At 51.6% G+C, this 17,825-nt stretch overlaps 1 protein-coding gene across 1 annotated transcript in view, besides 1 other annotated feature; it reads right to left on the bottom strand.

The window, feature by feature from the left end:
- The window catches only part of PSD4 (pleckstrin and Sec7 domain containing 4), a 35,421-nt gene that overhangs the window by 9,371 nt on the left and 8,225 nt on the right, over positions 1-17,825 (bottom strand). Inside the window, exons 2-16 of the mRNA NM_012455.3 lie at positions 16,509-17,675; positions 14,948-15,064; positions 14,581-14,656; positions 13,766-14,144; positions 7,432-7,641; positions 6,893-6,973; positions 6,651-6,763; positions 6,371-6,429; positions 6,073-6,162; positions 4,251-4,294; positions 3,714-3,874; positions 2,387-2,457; positions 2,108-2,274; positions 1,137-1,281; positions 795-938 (exon numbers count right to left, since the gene is read on the bottom strand). Of these exons, the coding sequence (NP_036587.2) occupies positions 795-938; positions 1,137-1,281; positions 2,108-2,274; positions 2,387-2,457; positions 3,714-3,874; positions 4,251-4,294; positions 6,073-6,162; positions 6,371-6,429; positions 6,651-6,763; positions 6,893-6,973; positions 7,432-7,641; positions 13,766-14,144; positions 14,581-14,656; positions 14,948-15,064; positions 16,509-17,564 (2,913 nt within the window). The 5' untranslated portion in view covers positions 17,565-17,675. The remainder of the gene's footprint in view (positions 1-794; positions 939-1,136; positions 1,282-2,107; positions 2,275-2,386; positions 2,458-3,713; positions 3,875-4,250; positions 4,295-6,072; positions 6,163-6,370; positions 6,430-6,650; positions 6,764-6,892; positions 6,974-7,431; positions 7,642-13,765; positions 14,145-14,580; positions 14,657-14,947; positions 15,065-16,508; positions 17,676-17,825) is intronic.
- Positions 543-832: a silencer, noted in NCBI's record as "silent region_11880". NCBI's record gives its function as "represses an Ori minimal core promoter by ATAC-STARR-seq in GM12878 lymphoblastoid cells {active_cell/tissue: GM12878}" and the evidence as "EXISTENCE:reporter gene assay evidence [ECO:0000049][PMID:35858748]".

Raw genomic sequence — 17,825 nt, 5'->3', positions numbered from 1 at the left:
ACCCCTGTCTCTACTAAAAATACAAAACTTATCCAGGTGTGGTGGCTCACACCTGTAATCCCAGCTACTCGGGAGGCTGAGGCAGGAGAATCGCTTGAACCTGGGAGGCGGAGGTTGCAGGGAGCTGAGATCGAGCCACTGCACTCCAGCCTGGGCGACAGAGCGAGACTTTGTCTCAAAAACAAAAACAAAAACAAAAAAACACGGTCATTTCTTAGTTAAGACCATAAACGGGGCATTTAGAGCAGCATGTAAATTTACCAGATTTGGAAGAGTAGTTTAATTTCTCTGTGCCTCAGTTTCCTCATCTGTAAAATGAGGATAACAGGACCTACCCAGAGCTGTTAATTGAATGAGACAATCCATGCAAGGAAGACAAGCTCCATCCATACTACCTATTAATATTTGGTAGGTATTAGAAGGAACAGTTGAGCTGAAATACAGTTTTCCCTTCAACTTGGGAAAAGCCAAATATACTCTTAGGAGAAAAGAAAACTGTAAAATAACATCTGCTATGGGTGTTTCCAGACAAGCAGCTGCTATGTGCCCCCAGGACGAGAGGCGACAGGCCTAAGTGCGTGGGGACACACACTCTTTGTGCACGCCCGTGCACGCGGGTGTCCATGTGGGAGCCCCCGCCCCTTTGCAGACGGCGCACGCGGGCCCCGCCCGCACGCAAGCGCCTCTCCCCGCCCCGGCGCGGTCAGGGCAGTGACGGCTGCAGGGACCGAGGCGGCCACGAGAGGGCGGAGAGGGCGCTGCGCAGCGGCGGGGAGGTGGGCTCGGCCGCTCACCTCGTACTCCAGGTACTCCTTCCGCAGGCGGTGCTCCTCCAGCTCGCGGCCACGGCCCCGCCGCTCCGGCAGGTTCCTCTGTAGATCCAGCAGGTCGTCCGCGGCAGCGTCCAGGCAGTTCTCGTGGGATCGATGCTGCTCCTCCTGCGAGCAGCGGGCGGTGAGGGGCGCTGTCCCGGGCGTCCCCTCCGCCGCTTTCCGGGCCCGGGCGCGCCGCCCCCCTGGCCGCCTCGGTTCCCAGGCCAAGTGCGCAGCCCGCCTCCAGCCTCCCCGAGTTAGTCCTGGGGCTCCAGGTGCACATTCCCAGTTCCGCCGGACCCCACCCCTTCCCGGAGGCCGTACCAGGGAGCTCTGGGCGGGGCCCACGGGCAGGATGGGCCGCACGAATCTGCGCTGGGAGCCCACAGCGGCGGGGAAGGGCGGCGCGGAGTGCGTGGCCGCAGCCAAGTTGATGCGCGCGATCCAGGAGCTCATCTCCTTGGCAGTGCTGGGGCAAAGGAGGTCGTTGGTCCCCGGGGACACAGAGTCCGTCCTGTCACCCTCCTCCCGCCCCCTCCTGTGGCTGCTTGCACAGCTGGCCAGCTGCTCAGAACTCAGCCTCCCATAGTTACAGCCCTGCCACTAGCCGGGCACCCGACCTCTGACCGTGGCATTTCTTATCAATAAAGAGGAAAATTTGGAGGCCCGGTGCGGTGGCAACGCCTTGGCAGGCGGATCACCTGAGGTCAGGAGTTCGAGACCAGCCTGGTCAACAGGGTGAAACCCCGTCTCTACTAAAAATACACAAATTAGCCAGGCGCGGTGGCGCCCGCCTTTAATCCCAGCTACTCGGGAGGCTCAGGCATGAGAATCGCTTGAACCCGGGAGGCGGCGGTTGCAGTGAGCCGAGGTGAGAGTCACTGCACTCCAGCCAGGACGACAGAGCGAGACTCTGTCTCAAAAATAAACAATAAAAAATAAAGAGGACAATCTGAGAAGGTGACAGATTTCATAACAAATGCCAGATATGGTCAATCATTAGCAACTTCCCGGAATCCTGTGTTCTGAACTGGGAGGCTTTATCCCACTGACAAGGAAAAGGCATACTGTGCTGGCAAAGTTGGCCAAGGATGGGGAGGAAGTAGGCGATGCCTGGGCTTCATCCCTGGTCCCCAGCTCCTCTTCCTGCTGCCGCTTTCTAAGAATTTCTGATCATACGGCCATTCCCACCAGGACCCCCTGGGGCCCACAAGCCTCAGGTGTCAGCAGGGTCAGGGGAGAGAGAACTAGGGCAGGGCAAGGCCTTGCCACAGTCTCCCACCCCAGGGACTTACGGTGCCTGGAAGAGGTAGAGGCGCCAGTCAGCCGTGCGCAGCTGGAAGACGTGCGGCTTCTTGGTGTAATGCGTGGCGGGGGTGGCCAGCGAGTGGTGCACCCCCACGGGCTCATCCACCATCTGCCCCACCAAGCTCTCCCCCTCCAGACAGTGGTCTTCTCCCTGCTACCAGTCACAGGGGCTCAGAGAAGAGGTTATCATCAGCTGCCCACCCTCCAGACTGTTCTGGGCCTCTCTCAGTCTCCCATTCTGACAGGGGTGTTGGCTCCTTTCCTACCTTCAGGAAGTAGAGAACCATCCCTCGCAGTAAGGTGTGGAACATCTTCCAGCCACGCTTGCCCCATGGCGCTGTTCCAGGAACAGAACACAAATGTTGTAGGTGGGGGCACCAGCATCCAGACACACTCAGACACACGCAAGTGTGCATATGCCCCCTGTCCCTCACACCACCTCCAGTCTCTCACCAGGATGCACACAAATGCAGAACATGCCAACACAAGAAAACACATACAATCGTAAACAAACATATAGAGTCTCTCCACACACAGGCAATGCCCGCTGGAAACAAAACCATAGAACCACTCACATCCAAATATAGATATTCATACATATCATCTTCTCTCCAACTCCAAACACACACCCACTACCCCAAGTAGTGGCAAACACCCAGGCACAAACACAGCTCCTCCCAGACAGCTTTCTAGTCCCTGCAGGATGATCTTGACCTTGCATACCCATCTAGAGGGGCTCAAGGGCGCAGAGCCCAGCTTTGGGGTGCCCTTCCCTGTGTACCCCACTCTGAGCACCACCTGCCCTCTTTTCCCCCTACCTCTCCACCCTGGTCTTGTGTGGTAAGATCCATTCTAAGCTCCTTGGACAAAAGGCAGCCCTAGGGCCCCGGCGGCTTCACAGCCAATGCTAGTTCCCATCCTGGTCGCCCCAGCCTATTCAATCTGTGCTTGCACATTAGTCTGCTGAGATCACCACTCTGGACATGTTGGTGCCATAATCAAAAGCCTTCAGCTGCCTGTGGAATAAGGCCCAAATGCAGGCCCTGGCAATTTTGCCTCAAGTGTACCTCCCTTTCACACACCCCATGTTCTGAGCAAACTCGGCTTGCTGTTTTCTCTGTGGGGGATGCCCTCTGCCCAGCTTCCAAATTCCAGACCCTCTTCTCCTCCAAAGTTCAGCGCAGATACCATCACTTACCAGAAGCCTTACCTCTCCCTGTAGCCACATCCCGCTTCCAAAACAAAACCAAAAACCTTTTTCTCCTCACTTGATTCAGCCCCTAGACACTCAGCTCTTGCTACATTTTTTTCGCAGACATTGACACACTTGTCTAATCTCTACCTTACTACAGGGACTCTGGGGCCCAGGAATAACTAGGCCTGTTTTGTCTGGGTTCTCCTACCTACCCTCTAGTGCCTCACACAGCATCCAGCACATGGTCACTGTTCAGTACGCACTGAGGAAGGAACATGGGCTGGCTGCCTGTCCTCAACGCGGGCTGTCTCTCTGCACACCTGTGCATGCATCGGCACAGGTCCCTGAGCAGGGCTGCTCCCAGCACGCCACCCTGTTTGTGGGCAGCAGACACTCACTCTTCTTGCCGTCTGCATCTTGATGCATTTTCCGAGCCAGGATGCCCTGCTTGTAGGTGGGCACTGTGGGATCCTGAGCCAGCTGAAGGAAGGGCTTGCTCATCTTGCCAGCTGGCAGGGACGGCTGGGCCTTCTCAGGTCTGGCTGTGTCTTCTTCATCCCTGAACATCAGAGAATCGGGCTGGAAGTGCTGACTATGCAAAGAGAACTGGGAGGTATCCATTGCCTCCCAGAGCCTTAGCAACCTCTCTTTTCCTGGGAAGCCACACCCCAGGACCCCCCACAAGGAGTCCTCCTTCACAGTGAACCCATCAATTCCTGAAAATTCTGCCATACCCCACGCCCCACTACCTCTGGCCCTCCGGTATTACTTGGGCTCCTCTATGCTCTCTCCCCAGAGCCCTGCCTCTGGCTTTGCCTCACTCCAAGGGGAGCACTATCTGAGTTTCTCTAACTCTCGGGTGGGTGACAGAGGGAGGACAGTCCAAAGACAGGGGAGAGGGGTGAGAGGGAGAGGGGAAAGGGAGTCTCACTCACACGGCCCACTCGAGCTTCTCGCTGCGGATAGACCAGTAGAGGGCCTGGAACAGAAGCACACAGGTGGGCAGGGGAGCCTCAGGGCTGTGGAGCCTAAAGTCTCTTTGTCTGGCAGAGGTAGGATAGGGGCATGTGTACAGCCTGCCTCCTCCACCCACAACATAGGTGCCCTTCCTCCTTGAGTAAGCAAGCATCCATCCATCCATCCATCCATCCATCCATCCATCCATCCATCCGTGCAACAAAGTATTTCTGGAGTATTTCCCAGCAACAAGCACTATGCTGGGTGCTAGAGACATAAAGATGACCTGCCAGGCACAGTGGCTCACACCTCTAATCCCTGCACTTTGGGAGGCCGAGGCGGGTGGATCACTTGAAGTCAGGAGTTCGAGACCAGCCTGGCCAACATGATGAAACCCTGTCTCTACTAAAAATACAAAAAATTATCTGGGCGTGGTGGTGCACACCTGTAATCCCAGCTACTCAGGAGGCTGAGGCAAGAGAATTGCTTGAACCCGGGAGGCGGAGGTTGCAGTGAGCCAAGATCACACCACTGCACTCCCGCGACAGTGCAGGATGAGACTCCATCTCAAAAAAAAAAAAAAGATGATGACCAGGGCAGACAAGTCCCTGTCCTGCCCATGCTTACTGAGGCCTTAACTAGTTCTCATGGAGGAGAAATGAATTACCTACATGGCATTCTACTGGGAGGGATCTGATGGAGAAGAAACTGGCTGACCAATCCCCACAATAAATGTGCAGTAAATGAATGAATGATGCACTAAAAGTTTGACATATTAACGTAGATGTTATCTCGCTTGCTTCTATAGCTCTTGCGGTGCCTAGCAAAAAGTCTGGCACATAGTAGGTGTTCAGTAAATGTTCATGAAGTACAGCCATGTACCATATAACAGCATCATGATGGTTCAGTCAAGGATGAACTGCATACATGATAGTGGTCCTGTAAGGTTGTGATGGAGCTGTCCTATACAGATGTATCATTTTTAATCTTTTCTATCATGTGTTTATTGTACCTTTTCTATGTTTAGATATACAAATACAGCACTGTGTTAGAATTGCTTGCAGTATTAAGTACAGCAGCATGCCATACAGGTTTGTAGCCCAGGAGCAATAGACTATCCCATATAGCCCTGGTGTGCAGTGAGCTGTACATCTAGGTTTGTGTAGGTTCACTCTATAATGTTCACACAATAGTGAAAATGCCCAACGATGCATTTCTCAGAACACACCTTCATCGTTAAGTGATGCGTGACTGTGATGAAACAGCAAATGATTTTAATTGCTTATGACACACATGCTATGTGCCAAGCACCGTGCTGAGCACTTGGAAGATTTCATTTCATCTTGATAATGGCATGGTAAGTGGTTAATACTCTCAGGAAGAACTTGAGTTGGCCAAGAGGGGGCAAATTGCCCAAGACTAGAATTCAAACCCAGGAACACCAGGCTCCCAAGTCTGAGCTCCAGACTTTCACCATGTGTAGCTTTGCCCTTCTCAGACTTTGAAGGGGTAAGAATGACTTGAAAACTTAAGAAAATATTTTAGGGGTCCCAGTCTCAGAGAGTCTGATTCAATAAGTCCAGCACAGGGAGCCTGCAGATTTGCATGGATAACAAATTCCAAGATGCTTCTGATGCTGCCCGCCAGGGAATACACTTTTACTAGCCCTTCAATAAACAAGTCCTGTTCTCTCAAGGATATTTTGGCAAAGCCAGTCCCAAGCTCAGCATCTCCCTTGGAACAAAGAACCAAGGCTCCAGGTCCTACATGAGGCTCATAAGAAGACCCCGTGGCACATACCTTCAGCAGCTCCTTGGGGAAGTTCCCGCCATCCCTCAGCCCATTCAGGTTGGTTATGAATTCCTGGCAGCTCATGCTCTTCCCAATGTTCTGTAGCCACGGAGAAGTGGGATGACTCGAGCACACACCCCATCCCAATAGAATAACCTCCCAGCCAGCAACCATGGAACCCTTTCCAGCTCCCCAGGCCCACATCCCTCAGGGGTGTTCCCTGCCCGGTCTCAGGCCTCTGGTCTTCTCCTCCCCGCACCCCTTGTTACAGCCTCAGTTCCCACAGGGACTCTCTCCACCGTCTTACCTGTCCATGCAGGTCCGTGTTAAGCAGCATGATTGCACATGTCAAGGTGTGTACAGAATCTACCCCAGAGATAGGTAAGTGGAGAGAAAGCTCATTGGAACCAGGGCTCCTGTTTCCTCTGCCCACACTGCGTGGGGTAACCGAATAACCCCTGGAATGCTTCCATTCTCCACAGCCCCCAACACACTCCCACCAGTTCACTGTCACCTACTGAACTCCCAAGCAGACATGGGCACCCCAAAGTTTCCCTGCTTTGCTGTCAGGGCCAGCCCCTCCCTACCTACTGAGGGGAAGATCCCCGGATTGCAATGGTGGAAGCGTCTGGAGAACTGGTAGAGGATTCGCTCCCGTTCCTGAGTCTCCCCACTGAGCACCAAGGCCTGGAGGAAGCTCCTGCAAAGGAGGGCCAGGGTCAAGGAGAGAGCCCGGGAGCTTAGGGCCAATCAGATCCCAGCCTCAGGCTGGTGCCACTGCCCCATGCCATCCTCCACAGCCTCCCCAGAGAGGGCCCAAAGACATTACCGGAGGGCTCGGTCCAGACTCTGGCCTCCAAACTGGAAGAAGGACAGGTACTCCTCAGCCACAGCCCTGCTAAAGTCATTGCTGCAGAGGGAAAAGGGGCATGGAGTCTGCACCAGGGGCCTGGGCTGGGGCTGCAGATGCACTGGGGCCCCCAGGGCCTGCACACATTATGCGGTGGGGGTGAGCAAGGGAAGGGTGCAGGCACGCTGGGCCTTGGGTCCTGACAGAGCAAGGGGGCAGCCAGGGTCTGGTATGCCCTGCTACCCTATTCAGTGTACACTGGGAGACACTGGGAGAGACCTGTGGAGTCTGGTTGGCAAGGCAGTGGGGACCAAGGACCAAGGGTGTGGAGAGCATGAGGACCATGACTGAGAGTAAGCAGCAGATACAGTGAGGGTATGGGGGAAAAGTTAGGAGGGGAGATGGGAAGGGAACAGGGCAGGGACGGGAAGGGGAGGGTGGCCAGTGGAGGGAGCCCTTCAGCAGCTCCTCCCTGGCTGCCTCAGCCTCCAGCCTTCCCCAGGCTCAAAGCCCCTTACTTCTTCTGCAGGTAGGCAGCCACTTCAGACTTCCGGAAGCCCTCCAGGCGATAGAGGCGTGAGGCCAAGTTCCAGGCTACCTTGTTGTTCCTGACGCCATTAGCTAGCTTGTCTCCAGCTGGTGGTCTCTGGCCTTCCTCTGGGGACTGTGCTTGGGGCATAGGGCTCCCAGGAAGCCAAGAAGAGTTCATCGGTGTCCTCAGATTCTCACTTGAGATAGACATGCAGGAGCTCTGGGTCAAGTGTTCTTGCAGGTCAGTTGTGGCAAGAGTTCCCCGAGCTCAGCGCCTTGAATGGTGGGGCCCGGAGGAGCTGGACCCAGGCCCTTACTCAGGGAAGAGACAGAGTCACAGCCAGACTGACTTAGCCTGGCCTGGGACCAGGAGAACCCCGAGAGGAAGGTATTCATGCAAGGTCTCCAGGTCTGGGGTCCTGCGCTTTCTCAGGTAAAGCACAGCCATGTTCCGAGTTTATCTCACCTCAGGTGGCAGGTGCATCCCTGTGAGGCCCCTAGCGTTGTTTTCTCCAATGCAAGGCACGTGGGATTGTCTCCCTCACCTGTCCTGTGGTCCTCCTGTACCTCCTTGTCCCTTCCCCACCTCCCAGCTCTGGCTCTAGCCTCCACTCCTAGATCTGGAGCCAAGAAACCTGTAAGGATGAGCTGAGAACAGGAAGCTAGGTGGGCTCTAGTAATGGCAGCAGCTGGGGTAGTTCAGGAGGTGGTCCTCAGCCTCTCCCTTCCCCCACCTAGCAGCCTGGATGACAAGGAGACTGAGTGGTGACCTATGACCTAGTGTGAACAGGCCTGGGTGACCCCCAGCCGACTCAGAACCTCCCAGTCCAGCACTAAGACTCTCAGATGTCACTCAATCCAATCTAAACCTGACTCTTCTGCTTCCCCGACAACATTACAATCAAGTGTGGGGTATTCCAGTTATTTAAACATTCATTATTCAAGTGATACAATTAGGAAGTTGAACTGGTAAGCAGAAGACATCATAATATGAAAACATTCCAGGGGCCTGGGCGCAGTACTCAGCCTGTAATCCTACTGCTTTGGGAGGCCAAGGCAAGTGGATCACTTGAGGCCAGGAGTTCGAAGCCAGCCTGGCCATCATGGCGAAACGCTGTCTCTACTAAAAATACAAAAATTAGGCAGGGTGGCACATGCCTGTAGTCCCAGCTACTCAGGAGGCTAAGGCAGGAGAATCACTTGAACCCAGGAGGCGGAAATTCCAGTGAGCTGATATTGTGACACTGCACACCAGCCTGGGCAACAGAGCAAGATGCCGTCTAAAAGAAAAAAAAGAAAACAATCCCTGATAAACAGATATATAACATTAGAATTCACTTAAACACCCTCACTATCTAACACAGCTGGGTCAGGGTTAATGGGAGGGTTAACCCCATGCCCATCACAAGGTCTTTGGGTGATGGTGACAGAATGTCAATCAGTGCCAGAAACCAAAGAACCATCTTCCTTATGCATCTGGAAACTAGGCTGCCCCGTGGAGAGGTTCAGAGGCTTGGTAGCCAGAGAAGTTCCAGCCTCTGAAAAGGGAAGTTTCTTCATGCCAAAAATTAAAGTTCACCCAACCCAAAATAGAAGTAACTAAATCTAACTAAAATGAGAACATACTTTCATAGTAAATAATGAAAAGGTTTACTTGGAGCTTTATCTTGGTAAATGTACAAATAAGTTTATTTAAATCTTATAGTAAACACAATGCCTAAAATTTAATTTTCCCAGCACAAGTTTTCTGGCTGGATAAGACATCTTGCATTCATCCTTGATTTTCACAGTAAGATCATAAAGGCCATTAAAAACAGTAACAGGCTGGGTGCAGTGGCTCATGCCTATAATCCCAGCACTTTGGGAGGCCGAGGTGGGAGGATTGCTTGAGCTCAAGAGTTGGAGACCAGCCTTGTGGTCTGCCTGGGCAACATGGTGAGACCACATCTCCATAAAAAATAAAAATAAGTAAAAATTAGCTGGGTGTAGTGATACACGCCTGTGGTCCCAGTTACTTGGGAGGCTGAAGTGGGAAGATCACTTGAGCCTGGGAGGCTGAGGCTTCAGTGATTCATGATTGTACCTCACACTCCAGGCTGGGCAACAGTGTGAGATCCTGTCTCAAAAAAATAATAATAATAACAGCTGTTTTGAAATAGAATTCACATACCGCCCAATTCACTCATTTAAAGTGTACAATTTACAGCCAACTGATCTTCAACAAAGCAAACAAAAACATAAAGTGGGGAAAGGACACACTTTTCAAAAAATGGTGTTGGGATAATTGGCTAGCCACAAGGAGGACACACTTTTTCAACAAATGGTGTTGGGATAATTGGCTAACCACAAGAAGGAGAATGACACTGGATCCTCATCTCTCACCTTACACAAAAAACAACTCGAGATGTATTAAGGACTTAAATCTAAGACCAGGAACTATAAAAATTCTAGAAGATAACATTGGAAAAACCCTTCTAGACATTGGCTTAGGTAAGGATTTCATGACCAAGAACCAAAAGCAAATGCAATAAAAACAAAGATAAATTGCCAGGACTTAATTAAACTGAAGAGCTTTTGCATGACAAAAGGAACAGTCAGCAGAGTAAATAGAAAACCCACAGAGTGGGAAAAAATCTCCACAATCTATACATCTGACAAAGGACTAATATCCAGAATCTACAATGAACTCAAACAAATCAACAAGAAAAAAACAAATAATCCCATCAAGAAGTGGGCTAAGGACATGAATAGACAATTCTCAAAAGAAGATATACAAATGGCCAACAAATATATGAAAAAATGCTCAACATCACTAATGATGAGGGAAATGCAAATCAAAACCACACTGCAATAACACCTGACTCCTGCAAGAATGTCCATAATCAAAAAATCAAAAAATAGACGTTGGCATGGATGAGGTCAATAGGGAACGCTTCTACACTGCTGGTGGGAATATAAACTCATACAATCACTATGGAAAACAGTGTGGAGATTCCTTAAAGAACTAAAAGTAGAACTGCCATTTGATCCAGCAATCCCACTACTGGGTATCTACCCAGAGGAAAATAAGTCATTATAAGAAAAATATACTTGCATACACATGCTTATGCTTATAGCAGCACAATTTGCAATCACAAAAGCATGGAACCAACCCACATGCCGATCAATCAATGAGTGCATAAAGAAACTGTGGTGTGTATGTGTGTGTGTATATATATATATATACTATTATATATTCAATTATATATAATTGAATCACATATATGATTGAATATGCATATATATTATTGAATATATATATATATGATTCAATACTACTTAGCCATAAAAAGGAATGAATTAATGGCACTCACAGCAACCTGGATGAGATTGGAAACTATTATTCTAAGTGAAGTAACTCAGGAATGGAAACGCAAACATCCTATGTTCTCACTCATAAGTGGGAACTAAGCTATGAGGATGCAAAGGCATAAGAATGACACAGTGGACTTTGGAGACTCAGGGGTAAAGGGTGAAAGGCGGTTAAAGGATAAAAGACTACAAATAGGGTGCAGTGTATACTGCTCTGGTGATGGGTGCACCAAAACCTCACAAATCACCATTCAAGAACTTATTCATGCAACCAAACACTGCTTGTTCCCCAATAACCTATGGAAATAAAAATTATAAAAAAGAAAGAAAAGAAAATTCAAGTTAAAAAGATAAAATAGGCAGGGCGTGGTGGCTCACGCCTATAATCCCAGCACTTTAGGAGGCCAAGGCGGGCAGATCACGAGGTCAGGAGATCAAGACCACGGGGAAACCCCGTCTCTACTAAAAATACAAAAAATTAGCCGGGCGCAGTGGCGGGCGCCTGTAGTCCCAGCTACTAGGGAGGCTGAGGCAGGAGAATGGCCTGAACTTGGGAGGCAGAGTTTGCAGTGAGCCGAGATCACGCCAGTGCATTCCAGCCTGGGCCACAGAGTGAGACTCCATCTCAAAAAAATAAATAAATAAAATAAAATAAAATAATAAAGTGAGGTCAGGCACAGCGGCTCAGGCCTATAATCCCAGCACTTTGACAGACTGAGGCGAGTGGATTCGAGAGTTCAAGACAAGTCTGATCAAGAGTTCGAGACCAGCCTGGACAACATGGTGAAGCCCCCTCTCTACTAAAAGTACAAAAATTAGCCAGGCATGGTGGCACACGCCTGTAATCCCAGCTACTCGGAAGGCTAAGGCAGGAAAGTCACTTGAACCCGGGAGGCAGAGGTTGCAGTGAGCCAAGATCGCAACATTGCACTTCAGCCTGGGCAGCAAGAGCAAAACTCTGTCCCAAAACAAAACAAAAAAATAAAGGGTACAATTTTATGATAATTTATATTTGCATACTTTTTTTTTTCAAAGTGCTCCCTCATCTAAGTATTATTTTAGTAACAACACTAATTGACTAGGTCATTTTTAAAAGCATATTTTAGGGCTTCGTCAGTTGATTTTTCGAGTAATTCTCTTTAGATGTGACAATTTATTCTTTATTTTTATTTTCTCCTCTTCCATTGTTCACTGGACAATCTCTTTTGGTTCCCGATTTGTCAGTGGTTTTCCACGTGACTTGTGAGGTCTTTCAACATCACTTTCACAGACCTTATGAAATCATGTTTTTTGACAGGATTTGTACTTACACTTTTCTGTTAGCTTCTGTTGTGCTTCTCCTGCATTATGTAGTGTTCATGAGCCTCAAGAGGCAGTGAGAAGTCACCAGCAAAGACCCTGACCCGTCTGTGTTAGGTGGAGAGGGTGCTTAAGTGAAACCTAATGTTATTCGTCTGTTTATCAGGGAACGTTTTCATATTATGATGACTCCTGCTTACTGGTTCAACTTCCTGTGTCACTTGGATAATGAATGCTTAAATAACTAGAATACCTGATTGTGACGTTGTGGGGGAAGCAGAAGAGTCAGGTTTAGATTGGATTGAGTGACATCTGAGAGTCTTAGTGCTGGACTGGGAGGTTCTGAGTCGGCTGGGGGTCACCCGGACCTGTTCACACTGGGTCATAGGTCACCACTCAGTCTCCTTGTCATCCAGGCTGCTAGGTGGGGGAAGGGAGAGGCTGAGGACCACCTCCTGAACTACCCCAGCTGCTGCCATTACTAGAGCCCACCTAGCTTCCTGTTCTCAGCCCCCTTACAGCCTTCTAGGCTCCAGATCTAGGAGTGGAGGCTAGAGCCAGAGCTGGGAGGTGGGGAAGGGACAAGGAGGTATAGGAGGACCACAGGACAGGTGAGGGAGACAATCCCACGTGCCTTGCATTGGAGAAAACAACGCTAGGGGCCTCACAGGGATGCACCTGCCACCTGAGGTGAGATAAACTCGGAACATGGCTGTGCTTTACCTGAGGAAGCGCAGGGCCCCAGACCTGGAGACCTTGCATGAATACCTTCCTCTCGGGGTTCTCCTGGTCCCAGGCCAGGCTAAGTCAGTCTGGCTGTGACTCTGTCTCTTCCCTGAGTAAGGGCCTGGGTCCAGCTCCTCCGGGCCCCACCATTCAAGGCGCTGAGCTCGGGGAACCCTTGCCACAGCTAACCTGCATGGACTGCACCATTAGGTCCATGACATGAACCACTGCTGGTTCCTGCTAGTCCCATTAACATGACTCACATTCAGCCAATTAGAAAACAAAATGCCTTTTTCAGTGTGGAGATCCCAGGGGCATATAGTCTTGAGGCAGCATTCTGGGACAAGTGGACATCTAGGTTGGTTTCTCAGTTGGCCTATTCCTACTTCTGGTCACAGTTCTGGGGTTACACAATCCTATGTTGGGCCCCAAGATCCATTCCCTTGGTCCCCATCAAACCTCCACTTGATGAGATCCGAGCCAGTGCCCCAGGCCCAGGTTCTTTGGTGAATGCCTCCCAGATACCTCCTCAAATTCAAAGCAGTCCATAATCCCCACATTACAAGCTCTGACCTTGCACTTCCCTGGCCTGCCAGCATGGCTCCCGTTTTTCTGGGCAGGCACACGCCCTTGCTCAGGTTCCCTGGACACCTCCTCCCCTTCCTCCTCTCCTGGTCTCCAGCTGTGGATGCTTCTTCTGAAGCCCTGCACCAGCACACTCAGATCTCGCCTCCACGTGTATAACTATCTGCTGTTTTGTTTCTGATGCTTCTGAATCTTACGGTCTTTCTCAAAACTCTTCCTGGTACCCACTCATATAATCCTTGCTTAATAAATATGGGTATGTTTAATTCCAATGTGCATTTCTCACCCTCCATCCAGACTAGAATATTCTTAAATGCATCCATAATTAGGAGCATGAGAGCCAGTTAGTCTGAGACTTACTGTTCTGCAGAAGTCAGGTGAATGTCAGGCTGGACGTCTCCAGTCTCTGCAGGCCTGGCTGTTCCTTCACTCTTTACTTCCTCGCCTGGTTTTGGGGCCTCCCCTGCCTCCTTTTTCTTCAAGGAACTTGGCTGTTCCCCATCCGTCTCCAAGAGTGAAGACTGTGAAGCATCTAGTGTCCACTTGGGCAAAATGCCTGAGCTGTGGTGTTGAAGCTGCGGGCTGCCCTCCTGGGACGATGCAGGGCTGGGCCTGGGACCAGGGCCTCTGCTCTCAGATTCTGGGCTGCTAGGCTCTGGAGAAGAAGCTGGGCTCCTCCAGGGGCAGGGGGCCAAGGTGCAGGGAAGAGATTCCTGGGGGTGTCCACCCTCCCTCTCATCTGAGGAAGAACATGAAGTGAGGCGGGCACAGGGCAGGAGGCAGGAGAACGGCCTGGGCACCACCTCCAGAGGCTCCCTCCCTGGGGCTCCTCCCCTGGAGCCTGGCAGCATGCCCTGTCCTCCCTCGGGCAGTGACCTCTCCCACTTGCAGAGGCAGCAGACAGCGGGCTCCCAGGACTCAAGCCTCCAGGCAACTAAGGGCTCAGGACCTTTGCTAAACCATTAAGACCCAGCGGTAAGAAATGCTGGTCCTTTTGTACGTTTCCTTCATTTAATTTTAAAGAGGCAGGATTTAACCCCAAGTCTGTCTGGCTTAAACACAATATAATGGGACCCATTAATGGCAACCATGGATCCAAGAATGATCTTTGTCCCCACTCCAAATTCCAAATCCTCCCAGGACCCAATTTCCCAAACCCCCTTATTAGGGCTCACCTCTGTCCTGGGAGTTAAGAGTCACCTGGGGCCAAAAAGGACCTCCTCTCTGCCAGCCCTCAGGGCTGAGAGAGGCCTGTTGAGAGAGGCAAAGGCATTCCCATGAGCCCTGGATACACAGAGAGGTGGATGGGGGAGAGGCCAGGCAGGGAGAAGGGGAAAGGAGGGGAGGGGAAGGATGCCATGAGTAGGCAGAAGCCCCTCCATCCTCCTCCCACCCAGGCTGGAGCCTCAGTTCAGAAGGGGAGTCCTGATGTGAGAAGCCCCACATCCTAGGATTGTTGGTGCTAGGCCCTGGAAATGAATGGGCTCATATTCCTCCTCCAAAGATGGAGAAAGTAAGGCCCAGAAAGGGGAAGTGACTTGCCCAAGGTTGCACAGGATGTGCAGCAGGGCCAAGATCAGATCCGACACATCCTGATTCCCAGGTCAATGCTTCGTCCACACACGGTGCTGCAGATGGAGCAGGACCAAGCCTATCTCCCTGAGAAGTCGAGAGAGAGACAGAGGAGAGAAGGAGAGGAGAGGTGACTAGAGGAAAATTGCTCCCAGGGCCTTTCTCAAATCCCATGAAGCCTCCTCCCTTCACAGTCTGCCCTGATGGCCCTGCCTCAGGTGGTGCCAGCCCAAGGAGGGGCTGTGTTTTAGGGAGGGTGATAGCCCCAGGCACTGGGCTGGGTGGGCTCTGCCTTCCCAGACAGGAGCCAACCTGCAACTTATAGCGTTCCCAGGCTTCCCTCTGAGAAGTTAGTGCTTAGAACAAGAAAGTCCATGGCGGGCGCAGTGGCTCACTTAATCCCAGCACTCTGGGACGCCCAGGTGTTTGGAACACCTGAGGTCAGGAGTTCAAGACCAGCCTGGCCAACATGGTGAAACCTATCTCTACTAAAAATACAAAAATTAGCTGGGTGGGGTGGCACACACCTGTAATCCCAGCTACCTGGGAGCCTGAGGCAGGTGAATCGCTTGAACCTGGGAGGTGGAGGGTCAGCCAAGATGGCACCACTGCACTCCAGCCTGGGCAACATAGCAAGACTCCGTCTCAAAAAAAAAAAAAAAAAAAGAAAGTCCTGAGAAAATGGACCTCCACAGGCACAGCCCTAACTGCCCCACACTGGGGGCCCTGGCCCATGGTGGAGAGGACTCCCATCAGTACCCAGGAGCTTCTCTGATCTTGGGCTCCAAGAGCTGCTCTGGTAATAGAGCTGCTCTGGGTAATAGCTCTTCATTGTTCTCAGGGAATTGAGATATTAGAAAATTACAGCCACACTCTACCATATTGAGTCTCCTTATCTCTTAAGGAGAGGCCTCCCTGGGAAAACTGTGCTCCCTATTGTCTCACAGAGCATGTCCCCATCCTTAGTTGATATTAAGAATCTCTGCCATTGTCATATGGGCCTGATCTATTGACACTGGACAGGGGAATAATGACAGATGGTGAGCTAAAAGTAACAACATGCTGAAATCTGTCAAGAAGAGAGAGGACTGGACTTTTGAAATAGGCATCTCTCTGTTAGGGGCAAAGGTCACCCTTGCAGGCTGAGCGCTGCCCTGTTACAGTTGGGAATGTCTTGGAGATGGGAGGGGAAGAATCTGAGAATGGCCTGGAACATGCTGCAATTGGAGGAGCTGTTTGTTCTCCAAACGTATCTAGGCATGGCCCCTTGGAGCTGGTGAGATGGAGACATTTATGGACTTAATTATCAGCTGACATCAGCTGACATCATGGCATTGATAAAATGTCCTATCATTCTGAAGACAACACTGGTCCTGATTTTCTGCTCTATTACCCTGCTATATACTGATGCAGGTTATCCCCAAAGCTCTTAGCGTCAGAAAAGAATGTTCTGGGCCTGGTGACCCCCGAGGAAGACCCTCCCTTCTGTGTTCCCAGCACAGCCCCGGTTGGTTCCCAAGACTGGGCTTACCTCACTCTCCCCGTGACCAGGAGGTGCTGCAGGAGCCCCCTCAGCGGCAGCCACTGAGGCCCAGCAGATGGAGTGTGGTTTATAGATGGGCACAGGGAATGGAGGGGTACAATGCCCACTGATAGCAGCGCCGTCCCCCAAATCTGGCTCACTTTCCAGCTCCCACAGCACTGTGTCTTCTGGGAGGGGAGGCTCCAGAGTCGCTGGGCTCTCAGGTCCAGTCCTCACACCTGCATGGGAGTCTGAAGCCCCCCAGGAAAAGCACTCTCCAGAAGCACTGTTCTCTGAGCAAGGACTCGCCAGGAAGAGGGGGTTGCTGAAGAACATGCTCTCCTCCTCAGCTCCCCACTGTGGGGAAGAGTCTGGGGTTCCCTCTCTCAGCCATGCCTGGCCCTCTCCCTCAGGCTCACTGCTGTCTTCCCCTGAGTCTTCATTCTCAGGTGGGCTGGAGTGCAGGCCCGTGTCCCCGGGGAGGTCCACAGGGGGCGTGGGGAGACAGCATTTCAGCCCAGCCTTGAGCCCTTCCGTCTTCTCCAGCTCCTCCTCCAGGTCTAGGACACACATCTGGGCCTGCAGGATGCCTGCCCAGAACACTACCTGTGTGGACGTGCTCCGGTTCTGCTTTGGGCTCCCCGGTAGATGGCTGTTCACTGGTGACCCTGGTGATGCTGTGTTCTGCCTGTGCTCCCTCTGGGCAGAGGGGCTCCCCAGGTGTGTGAGCTCCACACCGGAGCCCCAGGGAGGAGCATCTTGTCTGGTAGATTCAGGAGGGTCAGTGGCCCGGGTTTGCTCCTGGCAAGGCTCCAGCCCGTCCTGATGGACCCAGCTCCCCAGGTGTGTGAGCTCCACACCGGAGCCCCAGGGAGGAACATTTTGTCTGGTAGGTTCAGGAGGGTCAGTGGCCCAGGTTTGCTCCTCGAAAGGCTCCGGTGGATCCTCATGGCTGCACGTTTCCCTTGGGCACTCTCCTGGGTGGGGCTCCAGGCTGTCTCCCAAGTACAGGTTGAGAATTTCCATGGGCTGGGGGTGGTCAGGGAGTCTGTAGTCACCCATCATCCACTGAGCAAAAGCTGCCCAGGAGTGCCCCGGAGCATCTGCTTTCACGGTCTCACTGTGTGGACTAGGGGGAGCACTGGCCGCTGGAGAAACTGGGAATCCATATCTACCCTGGAAATGCCCAAAGCAAGTGCAGGTTAGGGAAGGGCTGTCAGCCTCTGGAGGCACGTGTGTAGTGTGTTAGATGTGTTTGGAGTGTCTTCCCCATCTATGCCTGCTGCTCCTTAGCACTGCCCTCCACAGCCCTGCTGGGAGTAAGGA

Source organism: Homo sapiens, chromosome 2, assembly GCF_000001405.40.
Source record: "Homo sapiens chromosome 2, GRCh38.p14 Primary Assembly".
Taxonomy (NCBI): domain Eukaryota; kingdom Metazoa; phylum Chordata; class Mammalia; order Primates; family Hominidae; genus Homo; species Homo sapiens.
Note: the sequence above shows the minus strand (reverse complement) of the source record. Positions and strands in the feature narration are given on the sequence as shown.